This window comes from Homo sapiens, chromosome 1 (genome assembly GCF_000001405.40).
Source record: "Homo sapiens chromosome 1, GRCh38.p14 Primary Assembly".
In the NCBI taxonomy this organism is placed as follows: domain Eukaryota; kingdom Metazoa; phylum Chordata; class Mammalia; order Primates; family Hominidae; genus Homo; species Homo sapiens.
The window spans coordinates 23,070,268-23,089,811 of record NC_000001.11 but is presented as its reverse complement, the minus strand read 5'-3'; the positions used below and the strand labels follow the sequence as shown (position 1 = coordinate 23,089,811).

Here is a 19,544-nt window from a genome sequence, read left to right as displayed (position 1 = left end):
TCCAGCCTGGGCAACAAGAGTGAAATGACGTCTCAAAAAAAGAAAAAAAAAAAAAGCCAGGTGTGGTGGTGCGTGCTTGTAATCCCAGCTACTTGGGAGGCTGAGGCAGGAGAATCGCTTGAACCCAGGAGACGGAGGTTGCAGTGAGCTGAGACTGCGCCACTGCACTCCAGCCCGGGAGACAGTGCGAGACTTCGTCTCAAAAAAAAAGGTAGAATTCTAGGCGTAGGGAGAAAGACAGCTATTTGGGCCCCTGAAGCTTTGGACATTTAAGAGGAGAGATAAAGGATGAGAGACGGGAATGTGAGCTTTTTGGTAGTTTGTATGTGGGAAGGAGGAAGAGAGCTGTCCGGACCTCTCTTCAGCTCCCCATCAAGGATGTGGACCTCATCCCCAGAATCATGCGGCCTGCATGCATGTGCAGAACTCGGAGACTGCTGGCCCCTCCTCAGGGGTGCTAGTCCCATGCCCCCATTCCAGGCTCTATCCTCTGTAAGGCTCCTGTTGAGTTGTGAGCCTCCTCCTAGCCTACCCTGATTGTTCCCAGCAGCTTGGAGTTCCCAGTCTGCCGATTTCCAAGGAATTTACATATTGGCCCATACTCAGGCAAAAGCATATCTTTGCAGTTAACTTATGGCCTGTCTGGGCTATATCTGCCTCTGCTGGGTTGGAAAGGACCCACTATGGTAGCAGGTGAGGGTGTCTCGGTCCTCACTTTACTGACCTCCACAGCTCACTTTTGTTATTTATTGGCACAGGAGGAAGAAGGGGAAGACTGTACACTCAGTGTCTACAGGCAACTGCACAACTCCCTGGATCCGTCTGAACTGCCTGGGAAGCAGGGGCTGCCAGAGTCTGGGCGAGTACGGGCCGAGGAACGATTACGGCCAACCAGGCCCTGTGCTGAGGAGAACTGAGCCCGCTGGGTGTCTGTTGTCTGCCCTCTGCTCCTGCTTCTCAGCTCTTCCACCGTCCTGCCCCACGAAGGATCCAAGGCCAGTTAACCAGGCAAGACACAAGCCTTGGCTGGAAAACTGTGGTAGAGCCGGGCTGTGGCTCAGGTAATTTTTGCCATTTGGCCAGAGGGAATCAGAGACTACAAGCTGGACAGTCACCCAGGCCCAACCTTCCCCAATGCACGAGTCCTCTCTCTCTCCTTGTCCCTGTCCACCAAGTAGTTGGACCATTCTGGCCCCCAAACAAGGGAAGATAAAGTCCCCAGCACACAGCAGGAGTCAAAAATTCTTCTCGGCTCCTTGGTGGGTTGTTTCTGGATCCTAGGGCAGCCTCTGTCTGTGTGGTTAATGTTCTGGTTTCTCAGTCTCCTCACTATATCCACTTCACTCCTCATTTGCCCAATGGGCTCAAGTACCCCATAAGATTTACCAGCCATCAGCTCTATCTAGGGGGCTTTCATTTCTTTCCCCTTGGAGTTCTTTTCTTCAGACTTAAAGCAGAAAGGGGTCTGTGCTGCCTCTAAAGGATTATGAGACTACCCTTTAGGTTGAAGTTTGACCTGGCTCCTGGCTTACCAGTCTCCTGGAAGCAGAGCATGCAGATACTCATGCGGATACCCATTGGAATGACATCATCCCTCCCCAACCCCAGCTCTCTCTGCTCACCTTCCAAAGGCACCTGGAGGTGCAAGCCTCATGCATCTCCTTTCCTGAGCACCAGTAATGCTGCTGGCATCGCCTGCTTTCTCTCCAGTGGCTGGAGACTTCAAGCTGACTTCATTGTTTCCACCTTGGGAAAATCCCTAGGCTAAGCTGGGCCTGACCCAGCATCCTCTGCCTTCTAGGAAGTGCCCAGCAAGAGGGAAAGCAGACCCCTTTAGTCACTCCACAAGCAATAGCTCCATGAGAGGCATGGACTGTGAGACTACTCCCTCCTGTTCCTCCTTCTCCATCCCCCATGGAGGAGGCATCGCACTTTACCAAGCTGATGCATTCCTACAGAAGTGGGCCCCGGATTTCTGCAAGTCGACTATCATGATGACTTCGCTGGAGGAAAGGTGATACGTACATACGCATTGAGGGCCTCAGCTTTATATAGTTCAAAATGCAGCAAACTTTTCAGAAAGCCACGTAAATAAATTGGTTAGGTTCCTTATACCAGTCACATGGGGAAGTTGAAAAGAATTGTATATTCTTGGCAGTGCTTTTTCTTTAGCATTCTGTCAATTCAAAGAAGGGATCCTCTTTCAAAGGCTACCTTTATGAAGTAGACACTATTGCCCTCAGAATGAGAGAACATTAAACTACCAGTCTGGTAAGCTGGATTTTTTTCCCCATGGCTTTACTTCCTTGCTGTGTGACCTTGGGTGAGTCATTGTCTTCTTGGAGCCTCAGTTTCCCTGTCTGTAAAATGAGTTCTTTGAAATGGATGATCTCTAAGGGCACCAAATCTGGTATTCTAAGGTTCTCCTGTTTTCACCATCTATAATAGTATGGGATGATTTTTGCTTGTGGAAGGTATCATCCGTGTGGGTTCTTCCCTCCTGCCCTCAATTGTTTTTCTGGGCCTTGTTTTTTAGTTTCTGTATGTTTTAATCTCATGGGGATGAGCTCAGAGAAGCTCCGTGGGCCTGTTTCCCAATCTGCAAAGTGTGAAGGGATTAGATGGGATGGTCTCTGAGGCTCTTTGTGGCATCAGCCTTGCCCAGTGCCACACAGTATCTCCTGGCGTTCTAGGAGTCTAGGTATTATGGAAAGTACCCAAGTCTGTGTATCTCCTGTTCCTGTGCATCTCCTATGAATTTCCTGGCAAGAGGAAGACTCAAGACTTCCTCCAGAGGAATTTGTCTTCTCTGCCTTCACTCAGCATGGGAACCAGTGTTCATCCTGACCTTGTCTGTATCAGATTTGGCAGTGAGGAGGCTTGGGGAGCACCTACCTTACTTTCAGGGACAGGAATCTATTGCTCATACTTCTGCTTCCCAGAGTTTTGCCAATCTAAAGGCATTGTCATGTGGCCTGCCTTTCCTGTCCACATCCCCACCTCTGATGCTCAAGATGCTATTTCCAAGATCTCTTACTGCTGCTTCTCCTGGCTTACTGGCCAGAAACTAGCTCACTCAAGGCTGCCATCCTTCACTTGCAGCCTCCCTGCCATTCTCCTTCACTGGTTGGCAACCTTGAGAGTTCAAAGAAAATCAACCTCTGTGGTGGTCAACTAAAGGTATTAGGAAACTAAGTCTGTGGCTCTTCTCTGCTGATGGAAACAGAAGGGCGCCAAGCCATGCCTAAAAAGATCTCGCCAATAATTCTTGTCTTTGAGTGTTGGAGCCCTGGATTCTGGTGCTATAGCTCCTGGTGCCAAAGTCTGGATCTTTCCACATTTCAGCAGCACCAACATCTGCTGCTACTCAAAATGTCCTGTTGAAGAGGGACAGCTGTGATGCCCTTTTGCTGGGGCTGCCATCTTGAAATCTGAGTGCAATAGGATTTGCTTGTAACAGTTATTTCAGGATATTTTGTTTCTTTAATCTGCACACTTTCTAGATAGATTTTATTTTTAAGTGTCCTCAGCATTGCAGAAAATAACATTGTAATAGCAAGTAAAGGCTGGAGGCTGTTTCTCTGGGCTTCAAATGGCTGGCAAGGCTGGCTCTCAAATCCCAAAGTTGGGAGGCATGTTTCTGAAAAGCAACTGAGGTGTGACTGTTTGGACCCAGGCCTCATCATCAGGGGTCCTGGAGGAAGCCTCCAAGTAGAGGGGAGACCTGGTAGTTGAATAGTTGTTTAATCAAGCCAAATAGTCCCACTGCCCCCGGTCAACAAACCCACTTTTATGACAGTTTTCTTCCGCAGCTTGGCTCTTAAATTTTACTGGCAGGTGTATGGTTGTTGGAGGGTTCCTAGTGAGTTGGGGGACCTGGCAATAGAGCTGCTTGGTTGGAGGAAGTGAAGCTGGCTTAGTACCAGCAGCTGATCTCTTCCACGTGCTGCTGCTTTTTTTGCCACTCTGATACTAAACCAGAGAAAGCTGCAGGTGGATAAAGAAGCTGTGGCTGTTTTTTGCTTTTGGGTGGCAATGAGAAAGAGTCACAGTGTGGGTTAAAGGGATCTGCAGTGGGGCCAAGGATGCCACCCCACCCTCAGCTGTAGGCAAGCTTGCACATAAATAACCCCCGTCAGTGGAGTGTTCGGGATGCAGGGGGCACTATAGTGTTCTTGGACTTGTCGTCCTGGGGCAGTTTTAGTTCTTTATATTTAGTGGGTCAGTGCCAAGTGCTACCACTTCCCAATAAAGGAATGGGGACCCAGAGGCTGGGTCCCTGGCTACCTTGTTATGAGGTTTTGTTATTTCTCTGACAAGATTGCTTTGGAAAGAGCTGCTTTTAGGGATTATTTTTTGAATACCCCGAGTGGGGAGCAGGGTTCTCCTCAAAGCCTCACAACCATAGGATCATAGGAAAGGGGCCCTATTTTCCTGCTGCTTCCCAGCTCAGAACATATACTGAATGGAATGTATTTTTAAGAGAATAAAGTCTATTTTTTTGTATTTTAAAGATTGAGAGGGCTAAGAAAGTAGCCCTCAAATAAACTGTTATTGCATTATAGGCCCCTTTGTTGGGGGCAGCCTGTTGGTCCACACCTACTTGCTCAGGCAGGTGCTCTGGTCTCTCTCACCCCTGCCCCTTAGAGTCTAGGTGCAGCAGCTCCAAGCATGGGACCAAGGAGGCCAGAACCTGTCGCTGGAAACCAGGGCAAAGCAGTGGCTCAGGGCTCCTTGGGTGCATGTGTATCATTGGAGCTGCCTGTCTGCATGTATCCTCTGGCGCGAATGCTCTCTGTTGGCTCTGCAGTACAATATGTAACCAATAAAGCTCCCTCGTTTCCGTATACTCTGTGCGAGTCTGTGATGCCAGTTTTGTCAATGTCATCCCTGTGTATCATCTGTCTTCTATGCGTTGGCGCAGCTCTAGTATATTTATTTATTTCATTGTGTAATACTTAAAATTGGGTATTTTACCTAACCAATTACTGATACTGCAAGGACTGGAAACATTAACTGCCCTGATCCTGGTGTGCAGATTCTTTCCATTACTGCCACGAATTCTAAGACTAGGGGGGGAAAAGCCTTCTCCGTTTTCATCTTCCAGTCAGATCACCAATATATATAATGATGTCCCTTAACTCACAGTAAGAAAGAATAAAACCACATTTAAGGGACATTACTTGGATTTGCAGTAACAGTGTTTATCATCTATCTGTCAGTCAGTCAGGAGCCCCTGGGAAGGAACCAGCATGTAACATGTTTTTATCATCTTATATGGCAAAAGGGACTTTGCAGATAAGGATGCTGGGATGAGGCAGAACATCCTAGATGATCCAGGTGGGCCTTAAATGTAATCACAGGTAGTATCCTTTTAAGAGAGAGACAAAAGATTTGACTACAGGAGAAGGCAATGTGATGATGGAAGCAGAAACTGGAGTTATGTGCTCTGAGGATGGAGGAAGGAGCCACGAGCCTTCCCACACCTAGAAGCTGAAAAGAGCAAGGAAATGAACTGATCCTCCCTGCTCTGAGAGCCTCTGTAATGAATGCAGCCCTGTGTACCCATTTTAGACTTTAAGCTTCCAGAACTTTCGAATAGATTTCTGTTTTTTTAAGAGCCACTAAGTTTGTGGCAATCTGTTAAACCAGCTGTTACCTAAGCCCTTGATCCTATGTAGTGCGCTTCCCAAAATGTACACCACCACCTTTAGTAGAATTGGGAAGTTTTAGCACATACCCATGGAGGGAATCAGGAATAAAGGCAGACTGGTCTCCCAAAGGCTCAGACTTTGTTTCAGCTCTTTTGTGTTCTATCTTGAAAGTGCATCCAAAGTTTCCTAATAACCATGTTCTTGGCACACCACCACACTCCACCCCCACCCAAGTGAGGAAGCCTAGTCCGACTGACCAGGAAGTCCACTGCTTCTACAGGACCGGCCCCCCTACCTTATCTTCTGACCTGATCAAACCATTTTTCTCTTTTATATGAACATCTTCTTCCTTATTTAAACATGGAGAAAACATGTATTACTATTGCCATAGGATAAACTTGGCATTTCCAAAGGAGTAATGCCCCCATCTTGTATGTAACTCCAACTCAAAGGAACAAAAGAGAGGGCCAATTTTATATGAAGTTTTATTCTCAAAATATAAAAAAAAAACAAAAACCCCACACACCAAGGGACTAAGATGATGTTATTTCACAGCACTTGCTTGCCTCAGTCTTTACGAAGAACACAATTCCAAACTAATGGACAAGTTCCTCCCTGTGCTCTAGGTCATTCAAAGGAGGCAAGCTCCTTTGTCAAATCAGGAGCTCCATCAGCTGATCAGGAGCCCAGATGCCAGGGTGGATTTTCTCAGTGGGATCTAGTATTGCTAGAAGAGCCTTCCTTACATGGCAGAAACAGGCACATGGGCCTCTTCCCTTAGAATGCATCTGTCTCACATGCTTGGGGACTGCTGTGCAGGAACACCTGGTGTGGCCTGGCGAGGCAGCGTATACATGGCCCCCAAAAACTGGTCTGCAATTCTTCCCGCTTCTCGCAGCCCACTCAGCAGAGCACCATGCACTGTGGCTGGGTAGTTACGGATCGTATGTTCTCCCGCAAAGAAGAGTCGTGGAATCGGCTATTTTAGGGGAAAAAGAGAAAATTGGCAGGCTGCACATATACCTTTATTCTTGTACTTAAATTGCTAAGTACTTAAATTGCTGTTGACCTTTTTAAAGGCTGACCCCCCCAATTACTATTCATCATTCTATCGAAGAGTCTCCCTTATCAGTAGGCACTTTCCCAGAATTGACAAGTAGAAATGAGACAATAAAACTCTACCTAGGCTCAGTCCTAAAGTGATGCTTAACATGTGTTCTCATCAGTTTAGATACCCAGTTGTAAAGCGTCCTTCCCTCATGTATAACTACCTTCTGGGAGGGAGCCTCGCTACCCTGAAGCACAGGACATTTGGTGATCAGGGACACTTAAGCCTCGCAGCTCAGCAGGTCTGGGCTATGACACTAAGGAATTCTTACCGCTCTTTGGAGTGGGGTCTGGCATAAGGGTCTAGACAAGGACCCAGGGTTATTTCTCAGAAATGCCCTGGAAGCCCCTAGTAATTGAGACCTTACAGCAATCCTATGAGCCATTACAAAATGGAAGTGCAATTAAAAATGGTTTTGTTTTTTAGGGAGAAAACCTGAATAAGGAAAAATGTTATTTGACTTATACTCTGGACTCCTCCATTCTGAATGTAGACTGCCTAGATTTACAAAACCAAATTATGAGAAATCAGAAATGCTGCCCATCCTTTTAACTCTGCTCTTGGTTATCTGAAAGGGTCCGAAGATGGAATGACTAAAATCTGAAAAAAAAAAAAAAAATCAGGGACATCATGAGATCCTGGCCTCTTCCCAAATAAGCCCAGATAGTTTGCCAGCTTCTCACCTGTGGGGCACCTGGAATCGAGGGGCCAGGAGTGATTGGCTGAGCCATTAAATCATAGTCATTTCCAGATGATCCTGCAGCAACATAGGAATAAGAGCCCCGAGCCCAGGGATCAGCACGCCAACGAGACACCACAGTTTCTTTGGGCTAAAAGAAAAACCAGGAGCAAAAGTCATTACGAGACACCAAGCACAAATCAATCCTTGAAAGGTGGAAAAGCAGTGGTGGGTGGAGATGCAAGTGAAGAGAAAGAGGGGCAACATGTGAGAGCCAGTGATCAAGTGATGAATGCCTGCTTTAAAACACACATGGACAAAAGGACTTCAGACAGGAAGGATGCCCCTCCATGTTGCCTTCCTGTCTATGAATCCAGAGATCTACACAGGGCTTGGCCTTTATTCTCTTTTATAAATTCACAATATCCTTCCCTTCAAAGGAATCCTAAAGGGTTAAAGTATTTCAAAGAACACGAAAAAGTACCAAGAGGTTCTCTGAAAACTTCCCGGAGATACTCACTGGAGTTTGGCCATTTTGTCTAAAATGTCAGGGATCTGGTGTGACTCTAAAGCCGGAGGAGAAATGCAGCTAGCAGCCTTCAGACTCCCCAGCTCTTGTCCTGGGGGGTTTTCTGAACCCCACGCTTAGGCCATGAACTCCAAACATTAATTATTCATGTAAAAGCACAGACCTCAATTCTAGCTTAAACTGTCCTGACCAAGAACATGCTGCAAATACATTAAACCCTGGTTGAGTCTGAACCCTAGATCCCTCCTTGCCCCACCTACCTACTTACCTGAGGTACTGCACTGCTACCAAAAATCCCTTTGAGAATGGCCAGGCATCGGCCAACAATCACATCGTCACTTATGTTTTCCATGATACCAGCAGCTTCTCCTGCCACTAGTGCCAACAGTATTGGAGCTGGGGAAACAGAAAGGATAATTCTAGGGTTTTCCTACAGACTTTCCTCAAAAACTTCCTTATCAGGCCCCACCTTATTCCTGGTGCTCTGAAATCTGATGACAAGACACACGCAGTACCATTCAAATGCGAAGAGACAGATTATGTTTCTGAAACAGCATACAGAACTCTTTGTCGCCAGACACCAGCCAGTAGGAGCTGGCAGACTAGAGTGAAGTAAGATTCTCAGGCACCTCACTGCTTCTAACCTGGCAAAATACAGCAGTTCTGAAGATATAATTTCAGATCTTGCTAATAAAAGGGAATTATTAAGCATCGCTTTACTTTGGCACAGAATTCTTAACCTTGACTACCTTGGATAGCTCCATGACAATGACTACATCCCTTTTAGCCATCCCAGGCCCCTCCAAGCCCAGGACTGTCTTCAGTCACCCATCCGGTGAGTAATTATGCAACAGACTTAGGTGGTAGGCACAGTACTAGAAAAGGGGGATAAAAAATATGATATAAACTATTACTCCAATAGAGCAACAGATGCAAAATTACACAGACAATTATTAACTTAAAAGCTATGAAGAAAAACGTAGGCTACACGGAAAAGAATATGGGGTATTTAATTTACATTTGGGGCAGTGGAGATGTGTCCTGGAAGTCGTCTTTGAAATACTTTGAAATTTATGTCAAGACCTGAATGCTGAGTAAGACAGGTTGGGAAGGAAGGGGGTCGAGGGGGTGGGAGAAGCAGCACCCCCAGGCCTAGACCACAGTACACGCAGAGGCTCTGAGGCAGAAAGCAGCATGGTGCCTTCCAGGATGTGAGAACAGCCGAATGTGCCTGGAATCTGGGGATGGACAAGGAAGTAGAGATGAGCTAGATAATGAAGAACCTTAGCATGGGCCAAGATAAGGAGTTTGAACATTTTCTTTCAGCAGTAGAAAGTCACTAAAAGAAGCAGGAATAGCAGTAGTAGCTATTGGTAACCGTCCAGGCAACAGGTAAGAATGGCTTGGACTGGGAGGTAGGCAATAGAAAAAAGTAAATAGGTTTGCAAGAGATTGTAAGGCTAGCACTGACAGGACTTGACAGCCTGGATGGGGAAGGGAAAAGACACGCTGCTGCTCTCAGAAAGCAATGTGCTCAGGGAGCCAAGTTCCCCCTCTGTGAAGTTAGAGGCTCTGGGGTGTGAAAGACCATTCACCACTGGGCAGTGAGGAGTAATGGAAAGAACTGGGGATGGGGAGCAAGCCAACGGTTAGCTGATGTGTCTGCACTGACAAGGCCAATGTCTTATTTTTACAGCCTTTTCTTGGAATGAGGTGGGGTACAAATATTACAAGTCTACATACAGTTAAGTCCAATTACAAAAGAAAATAACTGAACAGGAGGTAGGAATTTCATAAACACATAGTAAGAGAAGTAATCAAAGAATCAGGGGCAAGTCAGTCTGAGAATGAGAACGCAAGCTTCCCCTGGTAGGAAGCCTCCCTGGGCCTATCCCTCCAGGCTGAGTGGACCTCCAGTAACCTGGGCGTTCAGCCCATCAGGCCACCTACTGCCCTGTTCTAAGCCTGCTTCCCCGCTTACTGTATCCCCACTAAGTTGGGAGCTCCTTGAAGGCAGGTATTTTTATACCCCAGTACCTAGAAGGTATTTCAGGAATTGTTTGTTGAGTTAATAAAGAGAGAAATTAAGGCATATATATTGAGAAAACCCAAAATATTTCAAATTCTATATTCCTGTAAGGATATGGAAAAGATTAAAATTAGAAGGCATTTACCTTTATAGAGGTTCCAGAAGAGGAAGAGCTCACCCCTGCTGGCAGTCGTACTGCCAACATGCCCGAACAAATTGACACTTGGATCCCAGAACACCCGATCAAAACACAACACCACCTACCATAAGAAAGAAGCACATGAGCCAGTGACAGGGGCCAGATAATACTGGCTTCAACAGACTTCCTTAAAGTCTCTTCTAATCTGCTTTCAAAATAAGCCCAGCAATCCTTATTATTTAGGATGACATTTACGATCCCCTTTTTATAGGCCTGAGTTTGTGAAATGACCCCATAAGACTAAGTCCATATGAACAGACACTTGATGATAGACTTAGGCACTGAAGAGAATCAACTGACACGCCTCAGCCCTGATGTCACAATTGGGAGCATAGCCAAATGCCCAAAAATGCAAGGCCACCTCCTCACCAAGTAAACAACGAAGACTGCTATTTGTACATCAGATCTGTAGACAGGAGTGTCTAGGGCAAGCTACCTTGTTAAGGTTGCCAAATCCCATCCTTTGGACTGCAGATGTTTTCCACTCAGGGAGAGGTGGCACAAACTGAACGGCTGGTGGCTGCTGCTTCAGCACACCCAGGGGAAGGGTACAGAGAACTGCGTCGCATTTATAAATAAAGGTTTGACTCGTGGAGCGGGTATTCACAGCTATCACTTCACATCCTGCAGAGGTTGGGTGGGAAAAGACTAGTGGTGATGAATATGGCACTGATAAGGACACTGAACATTTAGTGTACAACAGATGGACATCCATTTCTCAATTCTCATTTTTCTATTTTCATTACCTTCATGTTTCACATAAGAAAACTGAGGTAGAGGTGAAATAACTCATCTAAGGCTACACACGTAATAAGTGCCAGGATTCAAACCCTTGTAGTCAACTTCAGAATCCTCAACTGTCATCCCCACACTACCCTCCTGATACACTGGTGATCTAGACTAATGAAAGGACCTTATACCACTTACTCAAGTTAAGTACATTTAGACCAAAAATAAAGAATAAAGTGCTCATCCCAATAGAACCAATGTCTTCTGACTGTGGTTAGCTGCTCACTATCGACCAACAGAAGAATGCTACAAGAAGGCTGTGATGCAGATCTGGGGGATGCAGCCTAAAACTGTGGAGCGTGCTATGCTTGAGAATGCACAGTGATTCTCAGCTTGTCAGAGTATGAATGAGTTCAAAGCTGACCTCAGAGAGGGTACTGAAATTATGTTAACATCGTTTTCCTCGTTTGTTTTTTAATGAATGTCTGTTTATATACTATATATATTTTGAAATTATATATCTCAAAATAAATATGAAAGCTCAGTACATGCTCATTTTCTATGGCTGCAGAACTCGAGAAAATGGCACAACATCTATTCTCACTGTTCTCCGTCTGCCTGCAAAAGGCTCAAGGCTGCAGATCTTCTCAGCACTGTCAACTACAAGCTGCCTCTGATGGGAAAATTAAATGGAAAACTGTTTCACTGATTGTTAGTAAAAAACCAAAACATCTGTGGTGATCTCAGTAACTCCAAGGAAAGGGGCAGCGCAGGGTAAGATTGATGGCTATGTCTCCATTTCTCATGCCTACATAGTCATACATGGGTTCTCAGAGAGGGAGATGACTAGTTATCTTGAGGAGTTCAAAATCCAACAGTTGTCTGCACTTTACATCAAATGTAGCCTGAAACCAGCAATAATAATGAGCATTGAGCCTATCCCCATAGCAAGCACAGGGAAACTCTATCTCTGAAGAAGTCAACTTATTAGCAGGACTGCTCCAGAACTAGGAACCAAACGTAAGCGAATTAGCCCAAATGCATAGAAAAAGCCAAAATGAATCCAAAGACCAAAATGCGGATGGTGAAATATAAGGGGTGGGTCCTAGTGGAGCCCAGGGGCCAAAATCCTGGTATTTATGAATATACTTAACAAAACTAGATCCAAACTCACTGGGTCACCAAAATGGAAAACTTTTTGAGCACTGACATGGTGCTCAAAGGAAATGCTCACTGGGGCATTAGAGATTTCAGATTTTCAGATTAGGGATGCTCGACCAGTAATATCCAACTAGCTCATGCACAAATTGGAAACTCTAAAACTTGCTTCGATTTCCCAGTTTATAAAATGATAGGGTTAGAACCACCAAAGACTCTATAGGCTCAACTGTCTATAAATGCCAATTTTTACCTATGGTGTCATAAACACTCTATCAGGAAATGTACCTGATAGGTCGCACCTAACAAAAGATCAGTCCTGTTTCAGGAGAGTTCTCTCTTACCTTTTGTAAAGCAGTGACATACCTGAAGCCGTGTAGCGAACCTGTCGCACTGCTGTATTCAGTTTAATGTCTAGGCCTTCTGCTAAAGCCACAGGCACACACGAGTAGCCATTCCTTACTGTCAGGTGGCTGCCAGTGAACTCAAAGTCATCATCCTAAAGAGGAGAGAAAAGAACATATTTCCAACCTTTTATTAATCTGTGTCATTTGCACCTAGTTCTGTACAACAACAATGAAAACACAAGCTTGTGGAAACAGTCAATATTTTAAGGCAAACTAAAGAACAAATCACTCAGTATTTAGCTACAGTTACCAAAGGAAACTGAAGGAAAAAGAGAAAACACCAAAAAATGTCCCTAAATCTTCGGGTAGTGAGATTAGGGAAGTTTCTTTTGTCCCTGGATTTTTTTTTTTTTTTGATACAGAGTCTTGCTTTGTCATCCAGGCTGGAGTGCAGTGGCGTGCTCTCGGCTCATTGCAACCTCGGACTCCTGGGTTCAAGTGATTCTCTTGCCTCAGCCTCCCAAGTAACTGCTGGGATTACAGGCATGTACCACCACACCCCGCTAGTTTTTGTATTTTTAGTAGAGACGGGGTTTCACCACGTTGGCTAGGCTGGTCTCAAACTCCTGACCCACCCACCTCAGCCTCCTAAAGTGCTGGTATTACAGGCATGAGCCACCACGCTCGGCCTTCCCTGGATAGTTTTTATCATTCCAGTCCAATACCACTAAGTCCGGATCTTCTATGGTGGTTAGGGTAGGGAGGTGGTAGGGGGAATGATGATTCAGGAAATTCAGATGATTAAACATCATTCAAGTTTATTTATCTGGCTTTTGAATACATTACAGACTTGAAGGATATCAGGGTCACAGTCCTGATTACATTTTCTTTTACCTGAGAGCAAAATCAGTTTTTATTCTTTAAATTTACAGGTTTGAAGTTGAGGAAGATTTCCAAAACTAAGTCAGTCAAACTAGATGAAGGTAATCTAGGACCATAAAGAGTGGCCCAAGACAGTCCATACAGTAAAAAAAAAGTCAGGAATTGACCAGGAATTTAAAGATCCCCAAAATGATCTTACTTCTTTGAATTTACTGAAAATTTTTCTATGTAACATTTTTTTTGTAAGCTGGTAAGGATTTCTAATTTCATGAAATTCTTGGGGAAATTAGATCAAAATACTGGGCTGGCAGCAACACTCTACTTCAGCTGAAATCACTCATTTAAAATTTAATACTATTACAAATAGACACATATTGAAACATCAAATGATAAATCAATGACTAGAAGGGCCTAAGTTAGTATTTACATGAAAAACCACAAAGGAACTGGTAGTTCTGCAAGACTTTATCTCTAACAAGTCCAACTCTTCAAATACTAAAACTATCAGATTATAATCTAAAGATTAAGAAGTCAAAATAATTTTTTTTTTGAGATGGAGTTTTGCTCTTGTTGCCCAGGCTGCAGTGCAGTGGCGTGATCTCGGCTCACTGCAACCTCCGCCTCCTGGGTTCAAGCGATTCTCTTGCCTCAGTCTCCCAAGCAGCTGAGACTACAGGCATGCGCCACCACGCCAGGCTAATTTTGTATTTTTAGTAGAGATGGGGTTTCACCATGTTGGCCAGGCTGGTCTCGAACTCCTGACCTGAGGTGATCCGCCTGCCTTGGCCTCCCAAAGTGCTGGGATTACAGGCATGAGCCACCATGCCCAGCCTGTCAAAATAATTTTTATTAGGAAAATGTATAATGTAAACTAAAATATATAAATAAAAATTTAATAATTTACTTCTATACATTTTTTTTTTTTTTGAGATGGAGTCTTGCTCTGTTGCCCAGGCTGGAGTGCAATGGCGCGATCTCCGCTCACTGCAGCCTCTGCCTCCTGGGTTCAGGCAATTCTCGTGCCTCAGCCTCCCAAGTAGCTGGGATTACAGGTGCCCGCCACCATGCCCGGCTAATTTTTGTATTTTTAGTAGAGACAGGGCCAGGCTGGTCTTGAACTCCTGACTCAATTGATCCTCCTGCTCTGGCCTCCCAAAGTGCTGGGTTTAAAAAGGCGTGAGCCACCGTACCCAGCCTATACAGTCTTAATTCTGGCCAAAGTCTCAGATTTAGAGATTGGTCCAAGAAGCCTTGTGATTTCTCACTTGAAGAGTAAATCACACTGAAATTTAAGAAAAGATGGTATAGCCCTGCTCACTGAGAACTATAAAACATCACTGACATAAACGAAAGAAAACTATTTTTGGAGAAGTATACTGTATTTAAGGATAAGAATATTCAATATTGTTAAGATGGCAATTCACCCTAAATTGACCTAGAAATTTAATGCACTCCTAATCAAAATCCCAGAAGGTGATTTTTGTAGAAATTGACAAGTTGATTCTAAAACTGTTATGGAAATACGTACCTTAAAATAGCCAAAACAATTTCAAAAATGAACAAAGTTGGAGAACTTACAAGACAGTATGATAGTGGCATATGGATAGACAGATAAATTAACAGAAAAGACAACCCTAAATACTCATGCTTACATGCCAATTAATTTTCAACAAAGGTGCCAAGACAAATGAAGAAAAGGATAGTGCTGGAATAATAATTACATAACTATATGGAAAAACATGAACCCTTCACTTACCTTTCCTTAAACATAAAAATTAACACAAAATGGAGTATAGACCTAAACATAAGAGCTAAACCCATACAATTTCTGCAGGAGAACACAGGATAACATCTTTGTGACCACAGGTAAGACAAAGATTCTTTTCAAGATAGAAAAAGAACATGGTTTAAAAGAAAAATTTTATAAATAGGAATGGGAGTCCAAGGCAGGAAGATCACTTGAGCCCAGGAGGTAAAGGCTGCAAGGGAGCCATGATCACACCACTCCAGCCTGGGCAACAAAGCAAGACCTTGTCTCAAAAGAAAAAAATTAAAGTAAAAACTTTTACTCTTTGAGACAGATTTAGAAAATTAAAGACAAGCCACAGATGACAAGGAAATAAATATTTGTAAAACATAAATCTGACAAAGGACTTCTGCCTAGAATTTAAAGAACATAATAAACTTCAAACTCATCAACAAGCAGACAATCAGACTTTTTTAATAGGCAAAAGATCTGAGCAGACATTTACTCAAAGATGACATATGAATGGCTCATAAGCTCAGGAAGAGTTGCTCTACATCACTAGTCATCAGGGAAATGCAAATACTACTATACCTATTAGAATGGCTGACATTTTAAAAACTGGCATTACCAAGATTGGTGAGGATTTGGAGAAAATGGAATTTTCATACATTGCTGATGGGAAGGCAATTTGGAAAATAGTTTGGAAGTTGATTTATAAAGTTAAAAATCCACTTTCCATAGTACCCAGCAATTCCATTCATAAATATTTACTCAAGAGAAAGACATGAACATTCTTAAGCAGCTTCGTTCATTAGCAGTCAAAAAAGGGAAACAACCCAAATGCCCATTAAGGCACCAGTGGTATATCCACACAATGGAATTCTATTAAATAATTAAAAGGAACAAACTACTGATACAGGCAAAAAAGATGAATCTCAAAAACTTCATGCACATCTCAAAAACTATACTAAGTGAAATATATCACACACAAAAAGCTATGTACTGTATGATTCACTTTATATGAAACTGTAGAATAAACAAAATTACAGTGATAACGCAAATCAGTGGTTGTCCAGGGCCAGGAGCCAGAGCATGGGGGATTAACTACAAAGAGGCAGGAGAAAACATTTCAGGATGATGGGCATGTTCTATATTCTGATTGTGTGGGGGCTTATGACTGAAGTCTGGCAAATCAATAAACTGTTCACTTAAAATAGGTGAATTTCACTGTATGTAAATGATGTCTCTTACTAAAGCTGTTTAAAAACACACATACAAAATTAACTATTTCTCTTACAATCCCTCTCAAAGGCATGTGCAATAAAATAAACAATAAGGGAAACTTACCTGATCCCAGTGCTTAAGGGAGAGAGTTGAGAGAGGTGTGGCATTAGCAAATTCAAGATTTGCAAAATGCCAATCAAGTATTTGTCTGTCTCTTGATGAGAGATATACATCACTGCAAAAGAACAAAGGACTACAGGATTATTAAAAGATATCACTAGTTCTCTCAGTGTGATGTAGGTGATCTCAGTAACTGTGTCAGAACCTAAGCCAGGGCTGTGCCTTATATGAAGAAATTACAAATCAAAAAGTAGCATCTTATCTGTCTTATTAACCTCTTTATCTCTGATGTCTAGAGCAGTGCCAAGCTCACTACGTAAAGCAAATTACATGTAGGCCTCATTTGTCTGAAGGAAAAAAAAAAAAGAATGCTTCATATGAAATCACCTTATATCATAAAAGCTTACTAGTTGTAAAAAATGTCTTATATTTTACACACAGCATAGACTCTATAGAAAGGATGGGCAGGCTGGATGCTGTGGCTCATGCCTGTAATCCCAGCACTTTGGGAGGTCGAGGCAGGTGGATCACCTGAGGTCAGGAGTTCGAGATCAGCCTGGCCAACAGGTGAAACCCCATCTAAAAATACAAAAATTAGCTGGGCATGGTGGTGGGCACCTGTAATCCCAGCTACTCAGGAGGCTGAGGCAAGAGAATTGCTTGAACCCAGGAGGTGGATGTTGCAGTGAGCTGAGATCACATCATTGCACTCCAGCCTGGGCAACAAGAGCGAGATCCCATCTCAAAAAAAGAAAGGGTGGGTAGCATTCTTGAATACAGAACAGAACAGATTTATGTGGAGGCTGGATGCAAGTGAAAACATTTCACCAGCATTCACTGTCAAAAACCCAGTGGAAATAAAGTATAATACCCCGCTAGTTTCCAAAATTATGGAAGTGTAAAGCAACAGCAACTTCTACCCTCTCAAGAAAGATAATTTCCATCTATTACATCTTTATCCAAATATCAGATCTTACGGAGAAAGGCTCTCTCTTTAGAAACAATCTGTTTAGGTATCTAGGACACATTAAAATACAGGAGCAGGGGATTTAGAAACCTCAAAAGTAGTCACACATTCATTTATTTAACAATTTAAACCACTCACTGAACATAAATAAAAGCTCATTATGATTTAGAATTTTCCTTCCAAATCAAGCTGAAAGAACAGTAAAAGCTCTCCCTCTGAACTTTTGTGTTTGTTTTCCTTACCTTGGGGGATTCGCTTCCAACTCCTGAAGTTTTTCTTCTAGCTTTCCTTGTGTTTCAGCTAATTCATCATATTCCTGATAAAAATTAAGTGAACCTGAGTTACCCTGAAGGGTCAGATATCCACCTAGTTTCTTTGTACCACAAAGTATAAGGTCTGGATCATATTTCCTCTTCAGATCATGTACAGGAAGTGTGGCTCAATTTTAGGCTGGGGTTAGATAGAGCTGAGAGATTTTTGTTTTTGGAGACAAGTTACAGTTGGGGGCCTGGAATATTAGGGGGAGGCAAGGAGCACACAGGAGAAAATAATGGAAGAAACATACTAGTGTGCTGCAAAGTGGGGATGAAAAATCATAGCAAGCACCATTTCATAAGCATGCCATGTCCCTGGCACTGGGTAAGCACTTTATACATAATTTTATTTAAGCTTCACAATTACCCTACAAGGTAGGTGTTAAGACCATGTTACAGATGAGGCAATTAAGGAGTCCAAGGTCACATGGCTCGAGATTCCAAGTTAGGGATTTGAATCAGACAGTTTGACCCCAAATGACTCTGAAGTCCATGTTTAATACTCTTACTCTAAACTGTTAGGGCTAAATTGAGATTTAAGATAAAATGATGAGATTATTAAGACAGGATAAGAATTCTGCAGGACAAGCAGGTCTTAAACCGAACTAACCCATTAAATCCCCATGGCTCCTTATGTACCAAATCGTCTTCATTGCACTGAAGGCACTTGTGATTGGCTAGTGGCTCTCTTTTCCAAAATTCCCCAGATCTGTGCTATTTCTTAGGATTCCAAGTAAAACCAGTTAGGCATGTATGTATACCACACCTTGCATAGGGCGGTCAGATCCCTGTGTTTGCTTTTCACTAAGAACTCGGCAGTAATATCTCTGGGTGGCTTTACTTCAGATGCTTCTTTGTATTGCTGATGGAGTTCTTTAATTTTCTCTTTCAAATTTACCATCTAAGAAGGAAAAATACAAATTTACCATTCCAGATAGCAATGTAGTTTATGTCTACATCACATGTACCCTTTTTTGGCTCCTCAAAACTGCTATCCCAACAAAACAGGGCTACAATGCAAGGTCCTGAGAATTCTTAAGTACTTGTTCTAACCTACATCATTCCATTTGGGAAATAGGAAAGAAATCTTATAGGGCTTGACATAAAGGTACCACAACTCTATCTGATAAGTAAGATCAGTGCTGCCTTCTAAAACGAATGAGAAGGATGAGGAGTGTCCCATTAATTTAAACAAACAAAGAAAAAACCCAGTATTGAAATAAATTTAATCTCCACAAAAAGGAAACTGTTGCTAATGTAACTTAAACTTATTTTCGGAAACAAATTGTCATAATGTGTGTGTTTGTTTTTTTTTTTTGAGACAGAGTCTCACTCTGTCGCCCAGGCTGGAGTGCAGTGGCACCATCTCGGCTCACTGCAAGCTCTGCCTCCTGGGTTCACGCCATTCTCCTGCCTCAGCTTCCTGAGTAGCTGGGACTACAGGCACCCGCCACCATGCCCAACTAATTTTTTGTATTTTTAGTAGAGATGGGGTTTCACCATGTTAGCCAGAATGGTCTCGATCTCTTGACCTCGTGATCTGCCCTCCTCGGCCTCCCAAAGTGCTGGGATTACAGGCGTGAGCCACCATGCCTGGTCCTATAATGTGTTTTTTAAATATGTAAAAGGTCAAAGAATTTTTTTTTTTTTTCTAAGAGACACAGTCTTGTTCTGTCACCCAGGCTAGAGTGCAATGGCACAATCTCAGCTCACTGCAACCTCTGCCTCCCAGGTTCAAATGATTCTCATGCCTCAGCCTCCTGAGTAACTGGGATTACAGGTGTGTGCTACCATGCCCAGCAAATTTTTTGTATTTTAGTAGAGAAGGGGTTTCACCATTTGGCCAGGCTGATCTCGA

General features: G+C 43.3%; 2 protein-coding genes across 20 annotated transcripts in view; one reads left to right on the top strand and one right to left on the bottom strand.

Moving 5' to 3' along the window:
- The window catches only part of LUZP1 (leucine zipper protein 1), a 94,481-nt gene extending 88,311 nt beyond the window's left edge, over positions 1-6,170 (top strand). For 10 of the 11 annotated variants that reach the window (XM_047429992.1, XM_047429993.1, NM_001395461.1 and 7 more), the window contains one exon: positions 759-6,170. In XM_047429992.1, coding sequence (XP_047285948.1) covers positions 759-917 — 159 coding nt within the window. In that variant the 3' untranslated portion in view covers positions 918-6,170. The remainder of the gene's footprint in view (positions 1-758) is intronic. The other variant, NM_001395462.2, reaches the window with a different exon arrangement.
- KDM1A (lysine demethylase 1A) overlaps positions 6,123-19,544 on the bottom strand; it is a 64,222-nt gene continuing 50,800 nt past the window's right edge. For 3 of the 9 annotated variants that reach the window (NM_001009999.3, XM_005245786.3, NM_015013.4), the window contains 9 exons: positions 18,453-18,587; positions 17,615-17,688; positions 16,409-16,520; positions 12,452-12,584; positions 10,635-10,822; positions 10,145-10,259; positions 8,239-8,366; positions 7,446-7,592; positions 6,123-6,633 (listed from right to left, as the gene is read on the bottom strand). In NM_001009999.3, the coding sequence (NP_001009999.1) occupies positions 6,448-6,633; positions 7,446-7,592; positions 8,239-8,366; positions 10,145-10,259; positions 10,635-10,822; positions 12,452-12,584; positions 16,409-16,520; positions 17,615-17,688; positions 18,453-18,587 (1,218 nt within the window). In that variant the 3' untranslated portion in view covers positions 6,123-6,447. Of the gene's footprint in view, positions 7,363-7,445; positions 7,593-8,238; positions 8,367-10,144; positions 10,260-10,634; positions 10,823-12,451; positions 12,585-16,408; positions 16,539-17,614; positions 17,689-18,452; positions 18,588-19,544 lie in introns of all 9 variants that reach the window. The other 6 variants (XM_006710473.4, XM_047449677.1, NM_001410762.1 and 3 more) reach the window with 3 other exon arrangements.